Raw genomic sequence first — 22,486 nt, forward strand, 5'->3', positions numbered from 1 at the left:
GAACCAGCTGGCTGCACCAGTGAGGAAACATGGCTCCCGGCTCCCCAACCCGCAGCGGGTCAGGTAAAACAGATAAACACCAATAGAATGCAGAGAACCAGCTGGCTGCACTAGGGAGAAAATGTGGCTCCCGGCTCCCCAGCCCGCAGCGAGTCGGTACCTTCAGGATGTCTGACTCGTAGCTGTTGTTGTTCAGCACGCCGTCCAGACACTTGTCACCCAGGTTGAGCTCTGCCGAGATGAAGGGGCAATGTTACCTGTTTATAATGATGTCGCAGGAAAGCACTGTCTGCCCGACACTGAGGATAAACATATTTCTTTTCATTACAGATTCTAGAAAGAATAAGAAGTTCAATGATAAAACTCAATTTTAAACAGAGGACAAGCAGAAATGATTTCCATTCCACTCCCTCCTTAAAAAGATCAGCTCTCCGAGTCTCCCCAGCACCTGGTCTTGGTATCGTAACAGCAGAACCCCGCTGCAAGGATTCTGTCCTGGGAGTATCTCCCCTAATAATTCTGTTAAGGCTTGATTTTGAGCTAACACGAATTTGACACACCTCTGCAGTCCAGCCAGGAATAGGTATCATTTGATGACCAACAGTGGCCTCATCCCTATAAACATCAGGCTATGGACCCCACCATCCCCTGCCCTCAAGTTCACCAAGAGAACATGCAAAGGTCAAAGCAACTGGGGCCTGAAGAGCCAGTATTACCACAAAACGGGGCCAGGCAGCCGTAGCAGCCGGTCCGGGTGCAGCCCCAGTACAGGTGGCAGAAAGGCTGCAGGCAGACCGCACCTGTGGAGAGAGGACACTCGTTACACGCACTCAGCGCTGAGGGCTGTCTCCAACACAATTCGTCAGCACCAGGCTCAGGAGCTCAACTCTTTCTGGAAACATTGTTCAGGAGGGGTCTCATGGAAATCGGGGCGGGGCCACATCCAGCTAACGCCACCCAGGTTGTGATGGACTGTGATGGCGAGGAGTTGTATCCCTGAAAAAAGGCGAGGCTCACATTTTCTGGTTTGTTATTTTTTAGAGATGGAGTCTCGCTCTGTGGCCCAGGCTGGAGTACAGGGGAACAATCACAGCTCACTGCAACCTCCGCCTCCTGGGTTCAAGGGATCCACCCACCTCAGCCTCCTGAGTAGCTAGGACTACAGGTGCACACCACCAGGCCCGGCTAATTTATTTTTTATTTTTGTAGAGACAGGGTCTCACCATGTTGCCCAGGATGGTTTCAAACTCCTGGCTTCAAGGGATCCTCCCACCTCAGCCTCTCAAAGCGCTAGGATTACAGGCATGATGCACTGCGCCCGGCCTCAGACCCACATCGTTTCTTAAACTGAACATTTACAGGCGTGATGCACTGCACCCGGCCTCAGACCCGTATCGTTTCTTAAACTGAACATTTACAGGCGTGATGCACTGCACCCGGCCTCAGACCCGTATCGTTTCTTAAACTGAACATTTACAGGCGTGATGCACTGCACCCGGCCTCAGACCCACATCGTTTCTTAAACTGAACACCACATGCTCATCCCAGGAAAACAGTGAGAGACACAAAAGAAAGAAATCTCACCTGCTCCACCACCCTAACACGGCTTCGATGGGCTTCATTCTAGCTCTGAACATGCAACATGCTTGCCCCCAACTGCACATATTCAGGTGGCTTTTTTTTTTTTTTGAGACAGAGTCTTGCTCTGTGGCCTAGGCTGGAGTATAGTGGAGCAATCTCGGCTCACTGCAACCTCCGCCTCCTGGGTTCAAGCGATTCTCCTGCCTCAGCCTCCCCAGTAGCTGGGATTACAGATGCCCACAACTGGCCAATTTTTTCATTTTTAGTAAAGATGGGGTCTCACCGCGTTGGTCAGGCTGGTCTCAAACTCCTGACCTCAGGTCATCCGCCTGCCTTGGCCTCCCAAAGTGCTGGGATTACAGGCGTGAGCCCATGCCCAGCCTAGGTGGCCTTTTTCTACCTAGGTATTTTTCCATGTTGTCACCTTGGCTTTGTAGACGTTATTTATTTATTTATTTATTTATTTTAGACAGAGTCTTGCTCTGTCACCCAGGCTGGAGTGCACTGGCGCCATCTCGGCTCACTGCAACCTCTGCCTCCCGGGTTCACGCCATTCTCCTGCCTCAGCCTCCCAAGTAGCTGGAACTACAGGCGCCCGCCACCATACACGGCTAATTTTTTGTAATTTTAGTAGAGATGGGATTTCACCATGTTAGCCAGGATGGTCTTGATCTTCTAACCTCGTGATCCACCCACCTCAGCCTCCCAAAGGAAATTATTTTTAATTGTCTGATATTCTATACAATGGAAATCCCTAAAATATAATGTTAGGTAAACCCTCGCTAAAATTCTCACAGGATTGAGTCCTTAAGTCTTATAACGCCTACGACCACTTCACCAATGCCTCTATATACGAAGCATGCTCTGTGAAATTAGAGTGAAGAGTTTGGATTCCTGGGGAAAAGCTGGGCCGAGCTGCCATCTGCTGACCACCGCGTGTGTGAGACATGGGACAAGCTGTTCTCTGTGGCTTCTCACCTGCCCTCCCACGTGCAGCATCAGCAGTGGCCAGCGCCTGCCGTGGATGACCCCCGAGGCAGCGACCGCCCAGATCACCGGGTGTGTCCCACGGCCATGTGTCCCGACGCTGCAGGCTAGGCCCCACCCCTGCCAAGCCCAGTCTCAGGGTACAGACCCCAGCAGTAACCTGTTTGGTTTCCTGAGTGCCCAGAACATTTTTAAGCCATTCCAGACAGAACCAGTGCTGTGGTCCTGTGTGCTGCTCACACAGGGCTCAGTGCACAGAGCAACACCGGTGTGTGCGGCAGGAGCCAACCGCGGTGCTCAACAGGGCTAGGGCTTTCTTCACCTAACACTTTCACATATAAGAAGCTCTGACAAATTAGGAAGTCATAAAAAAAAGGCAAAGGACATAGACAGACATTTCTGCAGGAATACATTAAAACAGCCATGAAATAAAGGACAAGCTCCATTTTTAATAATAACTGTATGTGTGTGCATATATATATATATATATATATATATATATATATGTTTTGTTTTGAGACAGGATTTCCCTCTGTCGCCAAGGCTGGAGTACAGTGGCACGATCTCAGCTCACTGCAACCTCCTCCTCTCGGACTCAAGCCATCCTTTGGCCTCAGCCTCCCGAGTAGCTGGGATTACAGGTGTACACCATCATGTCTGGCTAATGTTTGTATTTTTTGTAGAGATGGGGTTTCACCATATTGCCCAGGCTGGTCTGAAACTCCTGGACACAGAAGATCCACCTACCTTGGCCTCCCAAAGTGCTGGGATTACAGACGTGAGCCACTGTGCCTGGCCAGAGTTGTATACTAAAGCATCAACATTCATATAAGAGGTTTAACAGTGACACATTATAAAGCAACCACAGTGCTGGCAGGGGATAGACACAGATCCAAGCCGAGCCCCCGGTGGATGGAGATGTAGCCTGTGAAGGGGCAATGTTACTAGATGGTGGGAAAAGATAGATTATTCAATATGGTGACGTGGGGAAAACTGATCACACTGATGGAAAAAAAGAAACGGCATCCTTACTTCACAGGTTACCCTAAGGCCAACACCGCTTTGAAACCTGACCCCTGAAGGACAGATAGGAACCCGCCTGCGTGCGGTGGCGCGGGCACTCACACTGCTGAGGGGCGACACGCGGGTCCTGCTCGCGCTCCGCTCTCCGGTCGGGCATGGGCTGGAAGCAGCAGGTGCACAGGGCGTGGCTTCCTTGCAGAGGGCACACGTAATCCTGGACTGCTGAAGCACACGCACATTCAGCCGGAGCACGTGGGACCCAGGGCAGAAAGACAGCAGGTTAGAGAGGCCGCCGGGAAGCACAGCGAGGAGAGGTGCACCTGAGACAGCCGGGGAAGAAGCAGACCTGCCCTGCTAAACCACCGGGGACCTTCTGCCACCCAAACTCGGGGAGTCAAAACAGATTAACAATAACCAAAAATGATCTTTGATTTAGCAGCTGGAGCAAGATTTCAAAGATCTGTTGCAAGTTCTCTTTTTTTTTTTGAGACAGAGTCTCACTCTGTCGCTCAGGCTGGACTGCAGTGGCGTGATCTCGGCTCACTGCAAGCTCCGCCTCCCGGGTTCACGCCATTCTCCTGCTTTAGCCTCCCGAGTAGCTGGGACTACAGGTGCCTGCCACGCCTGGCTAATTTTTTTTTTTTTTGTATTTTTAGTAGAGACAGGGTTTCACCATGTTAGCCAGGATGGTCTCAATCTCTTGACCTTGTGATCCGCCCGCCTCGGCCTCCCAAAGTGCTGGGATTACAGGCATGAGCCACCGTGCCCGGCCGATCTGTTGAAGGTTTTCTATTATTTCCTATAAAGAGAGGACAAGCCCATAGAACCTATGATATAGAATAAAACAAGCTGTGTGTTCAATTTCCGCTCAGGTGAGAGAACAGCCATCTCTCAAATAAACAAAGGACAGCCACGGTGCACAAGACCAATCGATGTGGCAGCAGAAGTCTGAGCCCACACAGCCAAGTTCCCTGGACACTCGCCACCCACACAGGAAAGACCCTGCGAGGTCAACATGCCGGCCATAAGGACGGCAATTTCACCACCCAGGTTCACTGAGCACCCACTGAGGGACCCAGGACCCCAGAGGGAGGCGCTGGTCCCACCATGCAAAGGAAGGAGCTTGTCCAGTGACCCAGACAGAGCTGCTGAGTGGCGGAAGCAAACCCAGGCTGGTGGATGGGCATCCATACCAACGCCAAGCACTGCTTTGTCCGTTCCGTCCACGGGTTCTACAAGAAGCCACTGAGAATGCAGCACAAGGATGTGGCTCTACATCCATCCCAGGCCAGTGGCCTCGTGATGTGCTCAGCCCCCACCCGTGGCCAGGAAGCCAGGACCCCTGAGGGCATCTTCCCATTCTATGAGTCTGGAGTGAGCAGGGCAGAGAAGTGAAGCCTCCATACCCCCTGCCCAGCTCTCCTCTGACTTCCTGGATAGCACCTGGAGCCCCTTGCTGGAAAAAGGCACCTGACGGGGAAACATTTCGCATTAAGCCAACTCTGGTGACGCAGGGCAGCTTCTGGTGACATCGCCACTGCTGGGGAGAAGCCCGCCTCTTACTTGAGGGACAGATATGCGATCATCACTTTGGGTCTGGCAAACCCACTGGGGGACATCAGCTGCCCTGAGGCAGTGGCTGGGGAGAGGCCAAGTATTAAGGTCAGGGTTGTTAATTCCCAGGAGTGTTCAGGAGGGGCTACGAATGAACAGTTACTTATCTGATTTCCCAACCCAAAATCAGTCACGAAAAGCAACCAACTGTGAGTGCAGGGAGACCAATGAGGCCAGGGCCCAAAGGGGGCGAGCAGTGCAGACAGGAGGCGGGCAGAGCGCGGCCACGTGCACGTCAGCACCGGGCACAGCCACAAAGTGACTCACGCGAAGGCTGAGGCCTGAGGGCGGCGCGGCTCACCTGTCGTCAGGCTGACGGACGTGGAGGGTGCATCCCCCAGGGCCTGTGGGGCTCCTGGCTCGCCCTCGGGTGCTGGGCAGTGGGGAGGCTGCGCCGCCTGCCTTCTGTACTCAGGACACTGCCGGCACACGACGTATGGCTGGCTGCAAGGAAGCACAGGGCCGAGCTGTGTGCAGGCCCCAAGCCTCTCAGGTAGGGCCGGTGCAACGCGGGTCCGCAGCCATCACAGCTCAGCTCCACCGTCGCTCAGCTGCTTGGTGTGAGGGGAAGGGCCGGGCCCCATTCCTGTCCAGCACCCCAGTGTTAGAGAGGGACCAGAACGAGTCGAAGGGCAAGGACACGCCACTCTGCATCCCCAGCTCAGCCCCCACGCTTTGGAGCCCCATCCCCAGGGTCACTAGGTCCCCACTGACGTGTGCTCCCAGGAGACGACGCCAGAGCAGGGCAAGGGCCAGCACGTGCGCGCACGCCCCGTGCTCCTCAGGACCCGCCTACTCTCCCGTTAAAAGCAGAGCGCGGTGGGCAACGTACTGGGAGCCACACCAGGCGCCTGCAAAGCCCCGAATCACTTGTCTTTTCCACACTTCCCTTGTACTTCCAAAAACGAGCAGATAAAAATGTCAACTGTAAAAAAAGAACCTGTAGGAAAAAATACACGAGGCTCTCCTCTCCATTTGAAAGGCTTTTCTGCGCCTCACACCAAGGCCAGGGGCCAATAAGGCCAACAGGTAAGACCCAACCAGGTAAAAAACAAGGCACAGTGAAAAGACATTTTTTTCATAAGGAAAAAATGTAAATGAAAATGAGATTACCTACTTCTCCTTCTAAACTGGCAAAAAGAGGCCCTCATGCAGACCTTGTAGAGTGCATTAGGTGCACCCTTTCCGATCGGTGTCTGGATAACAAACTTATCAAACGTCTATCAAGGTCCAATTCCCAGTCACACTCTGTGACTCGACTGCTTCACGTCTAAACATTGACGTCACTGCGCATGTGCACAAATACGGATGGAAGAAATGCACAGCAGCAACTGTTTCCCAATTCAAACGCTGGGGACATTACCGAGCTGTACATGCAGCCGAATCCCAGCTTCATAAAAATATTTGTTTCTCATGCCTGTAATCCCAGCACTTTGGGAGGCTGAGGCGGGCGGATCACGAGGTCAGGAGTTCAAGACCATCCTGACTAACACGGTGAAACCCAGTCTCTACCAAAAATACAAAAAATTAGCCGGGCATGGTATCGGGAGCCTGTAGTCCCAGCTACTCGGGAGGCTGAGGCAGGAAAATGGCGTGAACTCGGGAGGCGGAGCTTGCAATGAGCCAAGATCCAGCCACTGCACTCCAGCCTGGGCAACAGAGCGAAACTCCATCTCAAAAAACAAACAAACAAAAAATAAATTTGTTTCTCACGCCTATAATCCCAGCACTTTGGGAGGCCGAGGCGGGCTAATCACCTGAGGTCAGGAGTTCAAGACCAGCCTGGCCAACATGGTGAAACCCTGTCTCTACTAAAAATACAAAATTAGCGGCCGGGCGCGGTGGCTCACACCTATAATCCCAGCACTTTGAGAGGCCAAGGCAGACGGATCACTTGAGGTCAGGATTTCGAGACCAGTCTGGCCAACATGGTGAAACTCTGTCTTTACTAAAAACACAAAAATTAGCTGGGTGTGGTGGCATATGCCCGTAATCCCAGCCCCTCGGGAGGCTAACACGGGAGAATCACTTGAACCCAGGAGATGAATGTTGCAGTGGGCGAAGGTCATGCCACTGCACTCCAGCCTGGGCAACAGAGCGAGACTTTGTCTCGAAAAAAAAAAAAAAAGAAAAGAAAAAAAAATTAGCCAAGTTTGGTGGTGCATGCCTGTAATCCCAGCTATTTGGGAGGCTGAGGCAGGAGAATCGCTTGAACCCGGGAGGCGGAGGTTGCAATGCGCCAAGATTGTGCCATTGGCAGGGCGCAGTGGCTCATGCCTGTAATCCCAGCACTTTGGGAGGTCGAGGCCGGCGGATCACGAGGTCAGGAGATCAAGGCCATCCTGGCCAATGTGGTAAAACCCCATCTCTACTAAAAATACAAAAAAATTAGCTGGGTGTGGTGGCATGCGCCTGTAGTCCCAGCTACTCGAGAGGCTGAGGCAGGAGAATCGCTTGAACCCAGGAGGTGGTGATTTCAGTGAGCTGAGATCGTGTCACTGCACTCCAGCCTGGCAGCAGAGCGACACTCCATCTCAAAAAAAAAAGAAAAAAAAAATTTGTTAGTACATTACATTTCATTTTGTTAACGATTATGACACACGTATGAATGGCTGGGTAGAGGCAGCAAAATCTTAATGCTAAAGTGGTTTTGGTTTCCTTCTTTTTGCTTAACAGTCACATGCTAAACTTGGCAAAAGGAAATAAAGATAAAAGTTTCAAGTGTTTTTTTTTGTCGTTCATTGTCTTTTTAAATATCATGGCCTCGACCCAACATTCAGACCCCGGTCTTGTGCATTAGGAAACCTCAACATGTCAGCAGATAAATAAGGTCTCTGAGGCTGGGATTGTCTTGGCCTGGTGATGGTGCCTCTTCTGTAATAACGTCCTGACAAATGATAAACATTGCAATTTATACTATAGGACTTTATAGTCGCTAGATCAACTACAAAGAATACATGTGCTCATGTGGGAAAAAATAACATGGAATGATGTCCCTCTGTCACAGCCAGAGATGCCACACCCATGACGAGTCGAAGCAAAGGGAAGGGTGTCAGCCGAGGGTGCAAATGTCTACAGCAGTCGCCTGCGGCTGACGCTCTGCTGGCTACCCCCTGGCTACCCCGCTAAGTGTTCACCCAGTCCCTGCCACGCCTCTCAGGGGAGGTGCTAATACTATCCAATATCAGAAAACAAGCTCAAGCCATTTAAGAGCTTGGCTGCTCAGGGCAGAACTAGATCTCAGGACCCATGCTGTCCACCCAGTAGTGAGCTCTCGGTCACGGTTGTGATGCTCCTCTGGCTCACACACTCTGCTCTGAGCCAGGGGCATGATTTACCTAATGTCTGAGGACTCACTGTCAACGTCTGACAGCTCCAGCAGGTCCTCTGAACTCCCTTCTTCATCAGAAAAAGACCGCCTGACTTTGGGCTGCAGCATGTCTTGAGTGATTTTATTTCTGGCATCCATACTTTGCACATCTTCTTCACTGCGACTCTTGTCTAGAATTGAAAGGACACAGCGCCATTCACCGGCAGTGAGACATGGCAGGCAGACACAGCTCACACTGCTGGGAGCTCGCGTGCGCAGTGCTGCGGAAGGAGGGGTCTGGGCGGACCGCCCTCACGTGCCCGGGTGCTGGTGGAGGGACTGCCCTCACGTGCCCAGGTGCTGGTGTGGATGCCCTCACGTGCCCGGGTGCTGGTGGAGGGACCGCCCTCACATGCCTGGGTGCTGGTGTGTGGATGCCCTCACTTGCCTGGGTGCTGGTGGAGGGACCGCCCTCACTTGTCTGGGTGCTGGTGGAGGGACCACCCTCGCTTGCCCAGGTGCTGGTGGAGGGACCACCCTCACGTGCCCGGGTGCTGGTGTGGATGCCCTCACGTGCCTGGGTGCTGGTGGAGGGACCACCCTCACGTGCCCGGGTGCTGGTGGAGGGACCACCCTCACGTGCCCGGGTGCTGGTGGAGGGACAGCCCTCACGTGCCCGGGTGCTGGTGGAGGGACAGCCCTCACGTGCCCGGGTGCTGCTGGGTGGATGCCCTCACGTGCCCAGGTGGTGGTGGAGGGACCGCCCTCACGTGCCTGGGTGCTGGTGTGGATGCCCTCACGTGCCCGGGTGCTGGTGGAGGGACCACCCTCACGTGCCCGGGTGCTGGTGGAGGGACAGCCCTCACGTGCCCGGGTGCTGCTGGGTGGATGCCCTCACGTGCCTGGGTGGTGGTGGAGGGACCGCCCTCACGTGCCCGGGTGCTGGTGTGGATGCCCTCACTTGCCTGGATGCTGGATGAGGTATGCTTCCACGAGGTTGTTGAGGATGTGGTTTTTACAGATCCGCTCCACGGGACAGCGGCAGGTAGGACACAGGGACGAGCGCTCCATCCAGCCCGAGTAGCAAGCCGCGCAGAACGTGTGCATGCAGGGCTGCAAACTGAAAGTGCAAGAGGAACAGTGTCCAGACAGTCCCACAGATGCAACCGCGACCCTCGACCAAGGTCCGCAGCAGCCCCACCACGGAAGGGCCTACAGGGGCCCAGCCATCGTTCAACCTAAAAACCCTTTAAGTCAGTCTTGGTTAATGAAAAGAAATCAGAGGCCACACGGCCTCTGTGTTTTCAGGAAAGACAGAGGCGAGTAGATTATGACTTCAGGAACACAAACAACAGAGACAGCAAGTGTTTCTGGCCCAGAAGTTGGAAGGTTGTCACTCTTGAGTTCCCGCGGAAAAGCAAGGAGGCCCTTCCTCAGCGGCTCCTACGTTCATTCTATGCGAAATACACCTTCCCAGATAAGGAGCATTTAAAATGTGCAGAGTTCCTTTCATCTGTTTGCAGAGTTCACGGGGTCACACACGACCCACACACTCAAAACTTGTGGGGTCTACAGCCTCCGGCTCTGGGTTCCAGGTTTCCTCCTTGTTGGTGCCACGAGTAGAATGAAAGTGGTAGCCATGCGGGGTGGCTCACGTCTGTAATCCCAACACTTTGGGAGGCCAAGGTGGGCAGATTACCTGAGTGCAGGAGTTCGAGACCAGCCTGGCTAATATGGTGAAACTCCCGTCTCTACTAAAAATACAAAAAAATTAGCCAGATGTGGTGACGCATGCCTGTAGTCCCAGCTACTTGGGAGGCTGAGGCAGGAGAATCACTTGAACCTGGGAGGTGGAGGTTGCAGTGAGCCAAGATCACACCACTACACTCCAGCCTGGGTGACAGAGCGAGACTCTAACTCCAAAAAACAAAAACAAAAACAAAAAACCACCCCGGGCTACATGGCGAAACCGTCTCTACAAAAAACACAAAAATCAGCAGGGTGGCTGGGAGTAGTGGCTCACGCCTATAATCCCAGCACTTTAGGAGGCAAACGTGGGCAGATCACCTGAAGTCAGGAGTTCAAGACTAGCCTGGCCAACATGGTGAAACCCTGTCTCTACTAAAAAATACAAAAAAATTAGCCGGGCATGGTGGCACACGCCTGCAGTCCCAGCTGCTCAGGAAGCTGAGGTAGGAGAATCGTCTGAACCCGGGAGGCTGAGGTTGTAGTGAGCCAAGACTGTGCCACTGCACTCCAGCCTGGTGACAGAGCGAGACTCCATCTAAAAAAAAAAAAAAAAAAAAAAAAAAAAAGGAATAAAAAATATTTAGAACATTAAAAAAAAAAAAAAAGTCAGCCAGGCATAGTGGTGTGCACCTGTAGTCCCAGCAACTCAGAAGGCTGAGGTCAGAGAACCGCTCAATCCTGGGAGGGAGAGGTTGCAGTGGGCTGAGAAAGCTCCACCCACTCCACCCACTCCACCCACTTATCTGGGTGACAGAGTAACCTCAGCAGATGCCAGGCCAAACAGGACCTGCAGGCTTGTCTCATGCCCAGCCCTGCCCCACACGGGACGAAGAACCTGCAGTGCCATGTTCCGTGAGCCAAGGGTGAACACGGTCGCACCTCACGCAGTCGTGCAGCAGGTCCTGGCAGATGATGCATGTCAGCGTCTCCTCCATCTTGTCTGGCTTCCCAGCCGCTGCTCTGACGTCCTCGTGGACGGTTTGGGCATTTCTACGCGGTTGTGCGACCAACAACTGCCCGTTCAGGTCAAGGTCCCCATCTACAGGAGAAAGGGATGTGTTCTGTCGTAACCAAGAAGGAAATACACGCAGGTTCAGGTCAAGGTCCCCGTCCACAGGAGAAAGGGATGTGTTCTAACTGTCGTAACCGAGAAGGAAATACATGCAGTCTTTTTTTTTTCGAGACAGAGTCTCGCTCTGTCGCCCAGGCTGGAGTGCAGTGGCGCGATCTCGGCTCACTGCAAGCTCCGCCTCCCGGGTTCATGCCATTCTCCTTCCTCAGCCTCCTGAGTAGCTGGGACTACAGGTGCCCACCACCACGCCCGGCTAATTTTGTGTATTTTTAGTAGAGACAGGGTTTCACCGTGTTAGCCAGGATGGTCTCAATCTCCTGACCTCGTGATCCACCCGCCTCGGCCTCCCAAAGTACTAGGGTAACAGGTGTGAGCTACCGCGCCCCACCCTCTTCTGGTGTTTTTATTTTTCTATAATGCTCAGATGTTGGTAATCAATTAATTTTTATTTTTAATTAAAGAAACTGTACACAATTTAAAAAGCCAAGTATTTAGAAGAAGCCAGGTGCAATGGCTCACAACTGTAATCCCAGCACTTTGGGAGGCTGAGGTGGGCAGATCGCTTGAGCCCAGGAGTTCAAGACCAGTCTGGGCAATATAATGAAACCCCATCTCTAAAAAAATGGGAAAAAAAATTAGCCAGCTATGGTAGCGTGCACCTGTGGTCTCAGCTACTCGGAAGGCTGAGGTGGGAGGACAGTCTGAGCCCAGGAGGTGGAGGCTGCAGTGAGCCAAGACTGCACCACGGCGCTCTGGCCTAGGTGACAAAGCAAGATCCTGTCTCTTAAAAAAATGTATACATAATATATTTAGAAGAAAACAAAGGCAGTCACCCTCCGTCTCAGCCGCTCCTCACCCAATTTCCCTCCTCGGAGGAAAACTATTTTCATGTCTTTGAGCTGTTTCTTCTGGTATTTACCTCTGTGTTTCTAAGTTATCATGGTACATTTGATTTATCAATTTTAGACATCATTCCTGACATCTATTAAGGTAGAGAAAAACTCTGTCCTGAGACACCCCTGCCAACATTACATTAACAGATTACATTAGTTCATGATACTGTATTTGTATTATTATGCTTATGCAAGTATTCACTGCTGAGCCAAGTAGTTTACTAGATTAAGTTGTGTGACTTACACAATTTTTCATGTTTGCTAGAATTAAAATTTCCTCATTCCTGTGCTTATTTTTCCTGTGTAACTGTTGCTGACTCTTTCCACACCTTCCCCACACCGATCAACCCCACGTGTCAGATAACCTAATTTCTTTCCCTGGGGACCCCTCCTAGAACCTTCCTGTCACAGTGCCCCAGTGGCTGGCTGCTCTCTGGACTGCTATACAGCAATGCTTCTACCATAACATTCCCAAATGTTTTCTAATAATCTTAACTTTGGCTTTCAAAGTGCAGACTTCTCCCTAAATCATCTTCAATGTGAAGATTTAAGCTACATTTTTAGAAATTATTGTCCTACCAGGACAGAGGGCTTTCTTTTTGATTTTCTTTTTTTTGAGATGGAGTTTTGTTCTTGTTGCCCCGGCTGCAGTGCAATGGCACAGTCTTGGCTCACTGCAACCTCCACCTGCCGGGTTCAAGCAATTCTCCTGCCTCAGCCTTCCAAGTAGCTGGGATTACAGGCATGCACCACCACACCCAGCTAATTTTTGCATTTTTAGTAGAGACGGAGTTTCACCATGTTGGCCAGGCTGGTCTTGAACTCCTGACCTCAGATGATCCGTCCACCTTGGCCTCCCAAAGTGCTGAGATTATAGGCGGGAGCCACGGTGTCAGGCTTGATTTTTATTTTTAGAGATAAAGTCTTGCTCTGTCGCCCAGGCTGGTCTCGAACGCCTGACCTCAAGTGATTCTCCTGCCTTGGCCTCCCAGTGTTAGGATTACGGATATGAACTACTGCACCTGGCCAGGAAGGAGGATTTTGAGATTAATTCTGCAATTCAGAATGCACTATTTCCAGACCAAGAGAACAGCCTGTAGCAAATCACAGTTCTATCTGGATTATGCAAACCGCAAAAAAACAGGCCCAGGTTTTCTGAATGAAAATGCCGGAGGTGTTACAGGCATCAACCTGAGGCAGGGTCCACATGCCCCTGCAGGAAGCAATGCCCCACAGCACGGAGCATGGCAGCGGCCCCCGCATGCCCCAGGAGCACACGAGAGGACTGAGGACACACACAACCAGACACTAACCTCCTCTCATTTTCTTCTTCACGGGCTCCAAATCCTCCTGATCCTGGGGTTCCAACGACGAAAAGGACGCAGTCTTTCTGTCTGGGAGAGCTGAGGCAAAGCTGGAGACTTCATCACTTGCCACAGAGGGACCACTTCCTTTAGGGGAGATGCCACCACCCCCAGACCCTGTGAGAGGAATCAAACAAGATAGGTGCTGATCCATCCAGCTCAGGAGAGAACCATGCCTGTAAGGTGTCACTGACTGGAGCCCAGTGCAGCTGGCAGCCTGAGATGTCGTAGTTTAGGAATGACAAGTGGCTTACGAGGAGTGTGTGCTCACTCAACTCACATCTTAACTCTATTTGTGCCTATCTCTACGTGGGGTGGAGCTGGGGGCAAGGAGCCCATTTGCAGAGAAACAAATGCGGAGATGTCTGTGACCAGGCTTAGCCCTCGAGCACCGAGTCTAACGCAGGGCAAACCCACATACCCGTGGTCATATGATACACACTGTGTCATAAACTTGTTACAACAGAGCTTTGGGCCGGGTGCGGTGGCTCACACCCGTAATCCCAGCACGTTGGGAGGCCGAAGCAAGTGGATCACCTGAGGTCAGGAGGTCGAGACCAGCCTGGCCAACATGGTGAAACCCCATCTCTACTAAAAATACAAAAAAATTAGACAGGCGTGGTGGCGAGTGCATGTAGTCCCAGCTACTCAAGAGGCTGAGGCAGAAAAATTGCTTGAACCCGGGAGGCGGAGGTTGCAGTGAGCCAAGATCGTGCCACTGCACTCCAGCCTGGGCAACAAGAGCGAAACTCCCTCTGGGGAAAAAAAAATAAAAATAAAAAATAGAGGTCTGAGGCTGGGCATGGGGCTCACACCTGTAATCACAATACTTTGGGAGGCCAAGGTGGGAGGATCACTTGATCCCAGGAGTTTTAGACCAGCCTGGGCAACACAGCAAGGCACCATCTCTACAAAAAATACAAAAAAGAAAAAAAAATTAACTAGGCGTGACAGTACGAGCATATGGTCCCAGCTACTCAGGAGGCTGAGGTGAGTGGATCACTTGAGCCCGGGAGTTCGAGGCTACAGTGAGCCATGACCACATCACTCTCCCAACCTGCACAACAGAGCAAGACCTCATTTTTTTTTTTGAGACGGACTCTTGCTCTGTTGCCCAGGCTGGAGTGCAGTGGCTCACTGCAAGCTCCGCCTCCTGGGTTGACGCCATTCTCCTGCCTCAGCCTCCCAAGTAGCTGGGACTACAGGCACCCGCCACCATACCCAGCTAATTTTTTTGTATTTTTAGTAGAGACAGGGTTTCACCGTGTTAGCCAGGATGGTCTCGATCTCCTGACCTCATGATCCACCTGCCTCAGCCTCCCAAAGTGCTGGGATTAAAGGCATGAGCCACTGTGCCTGGCCAAGACCTCATTTCTTTTGTTTTCTTTTTCTTTTTTGAGACAGAGTCTCACTCTGTCACCCAGGCTGGAGTGCAGTGGCGTGATCTTGGCTCACTGCAAGCTCTGCCTCCCTGGTTCACGCCATTCTCCTGCCTCAGCCTCCTGAGTAGCTGGGACTACAGGTGCCCGCCACCACGCCCGGCTAATTTTTTGTATTTTTAGTAGAGACAGGGTTTCACCGTGTTAGCCAGGATGGTCTCGATCTCCTGACCTCGTGATCCACCCACCTCGGCCTCCCAAAGTGCTGGGATTACAGGCGTGAGCCACCGCGCCCGGCCTGACCTCATTTCTTAAAAAAAAAAAAAAAATGCCAGGCGCGGTGGCTCATGCCTGTAATCCCAGAACTTCAGGAGGCCAAGGTGGGTGGATCATCTGAGGTCAGGAGTTCGAGACCAGCCTGACCAACACAGTGAAACCCCATTTCTACTAAAAATACAAAATTGGCCGGGTGTGGTGGCACATGCCTGTAACCCAGCTACTTGGGAGGCTGAGGCAGGAGAACTGCTTGAACCCAGGAGGCGGAGTTGCAGCGAACGAAGTTCGCGCCATTGCACTCCAGCCTGGGCAGTAAGATCAAAATTCCGTCTCAAAAAAACAAAGTAAAACAAAACAAACAAACAAAAAAAAACAGAAGTCTGTGTAAAGCACAGATGCTCCAGTGGAGGGATGCATAGCTTCCAACGGGTGGAGATGGTGCTGCGTGTGAACTATTTTACAAGAGGTGTGATAACGGGAAGGATACAGCACAGTGACTTGTAGGGAGAGCGCTATCTCCACGAGCAAGAAGCCAGAGTCATAACGACAGGAATGACCTTGGCAGAAAAACAGGCAGACTTTCTAATCACCTCTATCTTTTTTTTGAGACAGGGTCTCACTCTTCACCCAGGCTGGAATGCAGTGGCGAGATCTTCATTCACTGCAACCTCTGCCTCCTGGGCTAAAGCGATCCTTCCACCTCTGCCTCCTGAGTATCTGGGACTACAGGTGTGCACCACCATGCCCAGCTAAATTGTTTTTTGTATTTTTGGTAGAGACAGGGTCTTGCCATTTTACCCAGGCTGGTCTCAAACTCTTGAGCCCAAACAATCCACCCACCTCGGCCTCCCCAAGTGCTGGAATTACAGGTGTGAATAAGGATTACAGGTGTGAATAAGGATTACAGGTGTGAATAACCTATATCTTAATAAAGACTTAGTTTATCATATTACAGCATAATACATATCTAGCTTACAGTATTCAAATGTAAGTGTTATTATTTGAAAAAAAAAAACACAAGAAACTGGCTTACAGCAGCTGAAAGAAAACAGAATAGTTTTGGGGACAAACCACCTCATATACGAACAGAAGGAAAGAGACAGCCTGTGGGCCGGCCCCCAGCCGGCACCCACTCACGCCATCATCTCCAGCGCCCCGTGCTCAGCCAACGTGGAGAGGAGCACCATCTTACCACTTACAGAATGTACCTGGCACACTGCCTCACATTTAGTAGCTGCTCAATAAGCAGTAACTATACTTATTTTGTTAGTATGCATACACTTAGGCATACAGATAGAAGAATTTTTATTTTTTATTATTTTTATTTTCTTTTTGAGACAGAGTCTTGTGCTGTCACCCAGGCTGGAGTGCAGTGGCAGGATATTGGCTCACTGCAACCTCCACCTCCTGGGTTCAAGAGATTCTCATGCCTCAGCCTCCCGAGTAGCTGGGATTACAGGCGCCCGCAACCACACTTGGCTAATTTTTATATTTTTAGTAGAGATGGGGTTTTGCCATGTTGGCCAGGCTGGTCTTGAACTCCCGACCTCAGGCGATCCAACCACCCGGCCTCCCAAAGTGCTGGGATTACAGGCGTAAGCCACCACACCCGGCCAGAAGAATTTTTTTTTTAATTACATAAGTAATATATAAATACGCTGCCCTTTTTAAGTAGAACATTATCAAAAAATTATGCAAACCGTATTACCCAGACTACACACTGTGCTATGCACATTGGTGGATAGGAACAGGAAACAATTTTACTGGTGAAGTTTGTTTTCTTTACAGGCCAGAGCTATTTTGTGTTTGATTTCTGAAGAGGGTCTAGTAGCCACAAAATGCACATGGGACTTGGCCCTAGGGACATGGTATAGTTCATCTAGGCAGACAGTTCAAAATCTGCAGTCAATCCAAAATACTAGTAACCCCGCGTCCTGTCTGTGCTTGCTGCACTTGAAACGCTGTGGGCCACGCTGGAGCGGCCGGAACGCCACCTCTATTCCTCTGGGGCTGTCCCTGCACGGGGAGAGTCAGTGCATGCTGGATCTAGCTGTGAAGAGCCAGTGCACATCCCAGCTGTGCCCAAGGGTAGGTTTTAAGGAACCTGGAAGATACGATGAAGGGTACACAGCCCAAGAGAGCTGGTAAAACTTCAGCATTCAGGTGGCTATTCAAATCTGGCATGTTTTCTTTTCTTTTTTTTTTTGAGACCTGGTCTGTCGCCCAGGCTGGAGTGCAGTGACGCGGTATCGGCTCACTGCAACCTCCGCCTCCCAGCCTCAGGTGATCCTCCTCTCTCAGGTGAAACTCCTGTCTCAGCTTCCTGAGTAGCTGGGACTACAGGCGCCTGCCACCATGCCTGGATAATTTTTGTATTTTCAGTAGAGACGGGGTTTCACCATGTTGGCCAGGTAGGTCTCAAGCTCCTGACCTCAAGTGATTCGCCTGTCTTGGCTTCCCAAAGTGCTGGGATTACAGGTCTTTTTTTTTTTTTTTTTTTTTTTTGAGATGGGCTCTGGCTTTGTTGCCAAGGCTGGAGTGCAGTGGTGCAATCTCAGCACATTGTAACCTCTGCCTCCCAGGCTCAGGCAATCCTCCCTCCTCAGCCTTCCAAGTAGCTGGGATTACAGGCATGCACCACCACACCCGGCTAATTTTTGTATTTTTTATATTGTATTTTTTGTAAAGATACGGTTTCACCATGTTGCCCAAACTGGTCTTGAACTCCTGGGCTCAAGGGATCTGCCCACCTTAGCCTCCCAAAGTGCTGGGATTACAGGCGTGAGCCACTGTGCCCAGTGCTGAGATGCTTTCATCTTGAAGTGTTATTTTCTTTCACTCATAAATTTAAGGTTATGATGTTAAAACAAAGGTAAATCAAAGAGGCTCTGAGAAGCCGGGGTTGTGTTTAGTCTACAGGAGACAGGCTAGTAGAAACTTGTCTGTCATGGGTTTGGTCTCCGCTGTTCCTCTTATCTCCAGAAATATCAGGTGGAAACTACATAGCACTCACTCTCCACAGTCTTGCCTGCAACTTAGTGTCCCCAATTAGCACCTGAGAAGTCCTCCCAGGTGAGTCCCGAAATCACATCAGAATGTTACAACACACCAGAATGTGACAACACACCGGAATGTTAACACACCGGAATGTTACAACACACCAAATGTTACAACACACTGGAATGTTACAACACACCAACACACCGGAATGTTGGAATGTTACAACAGACCGGAACACCACACCGGAATGTTACAACACACCCTGGAACGTTACAACACACCGGGAATGTTACAACACACCAGAATGTTACAACACAGCATGTAACACCAAATGTTACAACACACTGGAATGTTACAACACACCGGATGTTACAACACACCGCGATTGTTACAACACACCAGAATGTTACAACACACCAGAAAGTTACAACACACCAGAAAGTTACAACACACCGCGTAACACCAAATGTTACAACACACCGGAATGTTACAACACACCAGAATGTTACAGGAATGTTACAACACACCAGAATGTTACAACACATTGGAATGTTACAGGAATGTTACAACACACTGGAATGTTACAACACATCTGGATGTTACTCTTCAGATGGCTGGGATGTCATCCATCAGACTGAGGTATGCTTTTAGAACACTCTGCTCCTGGTGACCAGCCTGGCCAACAACGTCTCTACTAAAAATACAAAAATTTTCTGGGCGTGGTGGTGGTGCGCGCCTGTGACCCCAGCTACTCAGGAGGCTGAGGCAGGGGAATCACTTGAACCCGGGAGGCGGAGGTTGCAGTGAGCCGAGATTGCGCCACTGCACTCCAGCCTGGGCAACAGAGCAAGACTCTGTCTCAAAAAAACAGAAAATAAAGAGCACTCTGCTGCTGAGGAGCTGGGCTCATCCAAAGGAGCCTCTGAAGAAGGAAGGAGCGGATGCAACAAGGCCTCAAGAACATCAACGAACAGGAGAGGTGTGGCTGCCCGTGTGAAGACAGAGCAACGGCATACAACGGAGTAAAAACCACATCAACAGAAGTGGAAACAGGCCCAGAGAGCGTGAGAGGTTTCTGGTTTCAAGAAGGCACACTGAGTCCCTGCACCCGATGCCGCTCCTTCCCCAAATCCCACTGGAATACACAGAGAGACATAAAAACAAGGAGTGTCCTGTAGCAGAGCAGCCAGGCTGGCTCATGAGACAGAGGGAGCAGTCTTCTGGGAGACATGGCTCTTGCTGCTGCGGATCAGCCAACAGATCCATGGAAAGCAAAGGTCCCTTCTCCGGAGGCTTCCTGGTGCCTGCCATGAATGTGTCAGTGATGTTCAGAGCTCTGGCAGCCACTGTGAAACCTCGAGGCAAAAACCTGAGCAAAAACAGCAGCGTGGAGTGCACAGAAGGCCCTGGTGACCTCAGGAGTAGCTGAGCTGAGCGGGCATTTCTGGACTTTTTATCAGGGAACCAGCTTTCCTGTCAGATCGAAACACAGCCTAATCTGAGATTCAGAGGCTCTTCTGTTCATAGGAATCTGCAGACTGCTATGGAATGTAAGAACGCGAGAGCCAAGCACTCCAGGACTAAGAATGAGCCCAGACGACACGAAGAAAGCCGTGAGACTTCACTGAAGAACAGGAAGAGCTTAACAAACAAGGAGAAACACCATTTTCCTGGGCTCTGTAAAACTGTCAATTCTCCCCAAATCAAAAATCTCAAAAAGATTTTTCTATTAAACTGGAAAAGCTAATTCAAAACATAATCTAGAATAGAGAATAGCTAAGAAAATTAAAAAAAAATAATATGTATAGCGCGATCCAATTTAGAGAATCCATATGTACACATCCTCCACGTGACAAACCCTAAAAGAAAACAGAAAACATTCCCGTCACGCTGCACCCAGATGGAATTTCTTCCCAATGACCATGGAAGAGGTAAGAGTCATGCCGTAAGGAACAGCATCTGCAAAACTAGTTTTAAATAACATCCTCTTCTGGATGAACTCTGAAAACACCACGCTAAGTGAAAGAGCCCAGTCACGGCTGGGCGCGGCAGCTCACGCCTGTAATCCTAGCACTTTGGGAGGCCGATCGGACAGATCACGAGGTCAGGAGATCGAGACCATCCTGGCTAACACGGTGAAACTCCGTCTCTACTAAAAATACAAAAAATTAGCCAGGCGTGGTGACGGGTGCCTGTAGTCCCAGCTACTCAGAGGCTGAGGCAGGAAAATGGCGTGGACCCAGGAGAATGGCGTGGGAGGCGGAGCTTGCAGTGAGCCGAGATCGCGCCACCGCACTCCAGCCTGGGTGACAGAGCGAGACTCCATCTCAAAACAAACAAACAAAAAACAAAAAAAAATTAGCTGGGCGTGGTTGCAGGCACCTGTAGTCCCAGCTACTCGGGAGGCTGAGGCAGGAGAATGGCGTGAACCTGGGAGGCGGAGCTTGCAGTGAGCCGAGATCGCACCACTGCACTCCAGCCTGAGCGACAGAGCGAGACTCCGTCTCAACAACAACAAAAAAGAGCACGCATGATTCCATGTCTGTGAAGTGTCTAGAACAGAAAAATCCAGAGGCCGAAAGCACACGCAGCTGCCAGGGGCTGGGGGGAGGGGACATGGGGAGTGACTGCTGATGGGGCCGAGGGGAAGGGGACATGGGGAGTGACTGCTGGTGGGGCCGAGGGGAAGGGGACATGGGGAGTGACTGCTGGTGGGGCCGAGGGGAAGGGGACATGGGGAGTGACTGCTGGTGGGGCCGAGGGGAAGGGGACATGGGGAGTGATTGCTGGTGGGGCCGAGGGGAAGGGGACATGCGGAGTGACTGCTGCTGGGGCTGAGGGGAAGGGGACATGCGGAGTGACTGCTGCTGGGGTCGAGGGGAAGGGGACATGGGGAGTGACTGCTGGTGGGGCCGAGGGGAAGGGGACATGGGGAGTGACTGCTGGTGGGGCCGAGGGGAAGGGGACATGGGGAGTGACTGCTGGTGGGGCCGAGGGGAAGGGGACATGGGGAGTGACTGCTGGTGGGGCCGAGGGGAAGGGGACATGGGGAGTGACTGCTGGTGGGGCCGAGGGGAAGGGGACATGTGGAGTCACTGCTGGTGGGCACCGGTTTCCTTTTCGTGTCAATGAGTGGTGATGGTCCCACACCTTGTGATGTACTAAAATCCACTGAAATGTACACTTCGGCTGGATGACTTTTATGGTATGCGAATTATAGTCTCAATGAAACTGCAAAATACACAATGGTACTAGAGTCCCTGATCTTCACTTCTCTTGGGAAGTGAAGGGAACAACACACTCAATATTGACTCCTACAGAAATCTCACTACTGAGAACCTCATGCCAGTCCTCAGTCGCTTATCTGCCTCTGTAACAACACAGGTAAAGAGTAGTGAACAAAAACCATGCAACCAGCACCAAGACCTCATGAGATGTGACCTCACCACAACTGGAGGAACGCTCTCGCCCTGCAGGAGAAGGCTCCGTGGAAGAGGCCGAGGCTGTGGGGAAGAGGTCTGACGTCGATGTTGATGGCTGTGGTTCCTCAAAGCACACCTGAGTGGCGGGCGACGACGGAGGGACCCGGGGATCGGCCCCTCGCCCTGCACCTGCACCTGAGGTATCTTTGGTCCCATGGAACACATTTTCCTTGTTAGCTTCTGTAACCCAAAAGGAGCAGAAGCAGCACACAACCAGGGCTCAAGCAGACACTCTAGGGATTGAAATGCTCTTAAGAATGCAACAGCCCCAAGGCCAGGCACGGTGGTGCAGGCCTGTAATCCCAGCACTTTGGGAAGTCGAGGCAGGTGTATCTCCTGAGGTCAGGAGTTCGAGACCAGCCTGACCAACATGGTGAAACCCCGTCTCTACTAAAAATATAAAAATTAGCCAGGCGTGCCGGGCGCGGTGGCTCATACCTGTAATCCCAGCACTTTGGGAGGCTGAGGCGGGTAGATCACGAGGTCAGGAGATCGAGGCCAACCTGGCTAACACGGTGAAACCCCATCTCTACTAAAAATACAAAAAATTAGCTGGGCATGGTAGCGACTGCCTGTAGTCCCAGCTACTCGGGAGGCTGAGGCAGGAGAATGGCATGAACCCGGGAGGTGGAGGTTGCAGTGAGCCGAGATCGCGCCACTGCACTCCAGCCTGGGCGACAAAGCGCGACTCCATCTCAAAAAACAAACAAACAAACAAACAAACAAAATTAGCCAGGCGTGACGGTGCAACCTGTA

At 51.4% G+C, this 22,486-nt stretch overlaps 1 protein-coding gene across 5 annotated transcripts in view, besides 3 other annotated features; it reads right to left on the minus strand.

The window, feature by feature from the left end:
* CHFR (checkpoint with forkhead and ring finger domains) overlaps window positions 1-22,486 on the minus strand; it is a 55,263-nt gene that overhangs the window by 15,569 nt on the left and 17,208 nt on the right. Inside the window, exons 6-14 of one of the 5 annotated variants that reach the window (NM_001161346.2) lie at window positions 21,695-21,874; window positions 13,543-13,710; window positions 11,144-11,303; window positions 9,481-9,635; window positions 8,544-8,706; window positions 5,507-5,649; window positions 3,694-3,813; window positions 717-800; window positions 161-231 (exon numbers count right to left, since the gene is read on the minus strand). In NM_001161346.2, the coding sequence (NP_001154818.1) occupies window positions 161-231; window positions 717-800; window positions 3,694-3,813; window positions 5,507-5,649; window positions 8,544-8,706; window positions 9,481-9,635; window positions 11,144-11,303; window positions 13,543-13,710; window positions 21,695-21,874 (1,244 nt within the window). 5 annotated transcript variants of the gene reach the window in all.
* Window positions 4,275-4,776: an enhancer, noted in NCBI's record as "H3K4me1 hESC enhancer chr12:133428785-133429286 (GRCh37/hg19 assembly coordinates)". NCBI's record gives its function as "activates a minimal SCP1, AML or CMV promoter by ChIP-STARR-seq in primed H9 embryonic stem cells {active_cell/tissue: H9 hESC(primed)}" and the evidence as "EXISTENCE:reporter gene assay evidence [ECO:0000049][PMID:30033119]".
* Window positions 4,777-5,276: an enhancer, noted in NCBI's record as "H3K4me1 hESC enhancer chr12:133429287-133429786 (GRCh37/hg19 assembly coordinates)". NCBI's record gives its function as "activates a minimal SCP1, AML or CMV promoter by ChIP-STARR-seq in primed H9 embryonic stem cells {active_cell/tissue: H9 hESC(primed)}" and the evidence as "EXISTENCE:reporter gene assay evidence [ECO:0000049][PMID:30033119]".
* Window positions 8,631-9,830: an enhancer, noted in NCBI's record as "BRD4-independent group 4 enhancer chr12:133433141-133434340 (GRCh37/hg19 assembly coordinates)". NCBI's record gives its function as "activates an origin of replication core promoter dependent on BRD2, P300/CBP, MED14 and CDK7 cofactors, and independent of BRD4, by STARR-seq in HCT116 cells {active_cell/tissue: HCT116}" and the evidence as "EXISTENCE:reporter gene assay evidence [ECO:0000049][PMID:35650434]".

This window comes from Homo sapiens, chromosome 12, assembly GCF_000001405.40.
Source record: "Homo sapiens chromosome 12, GRCh38.p14 Primary Assembly".
NCBI lineage: Eukaryota > Metazoa > Chordata > Mammalia > Primates > Hominidae > Homo > Homo sapiens.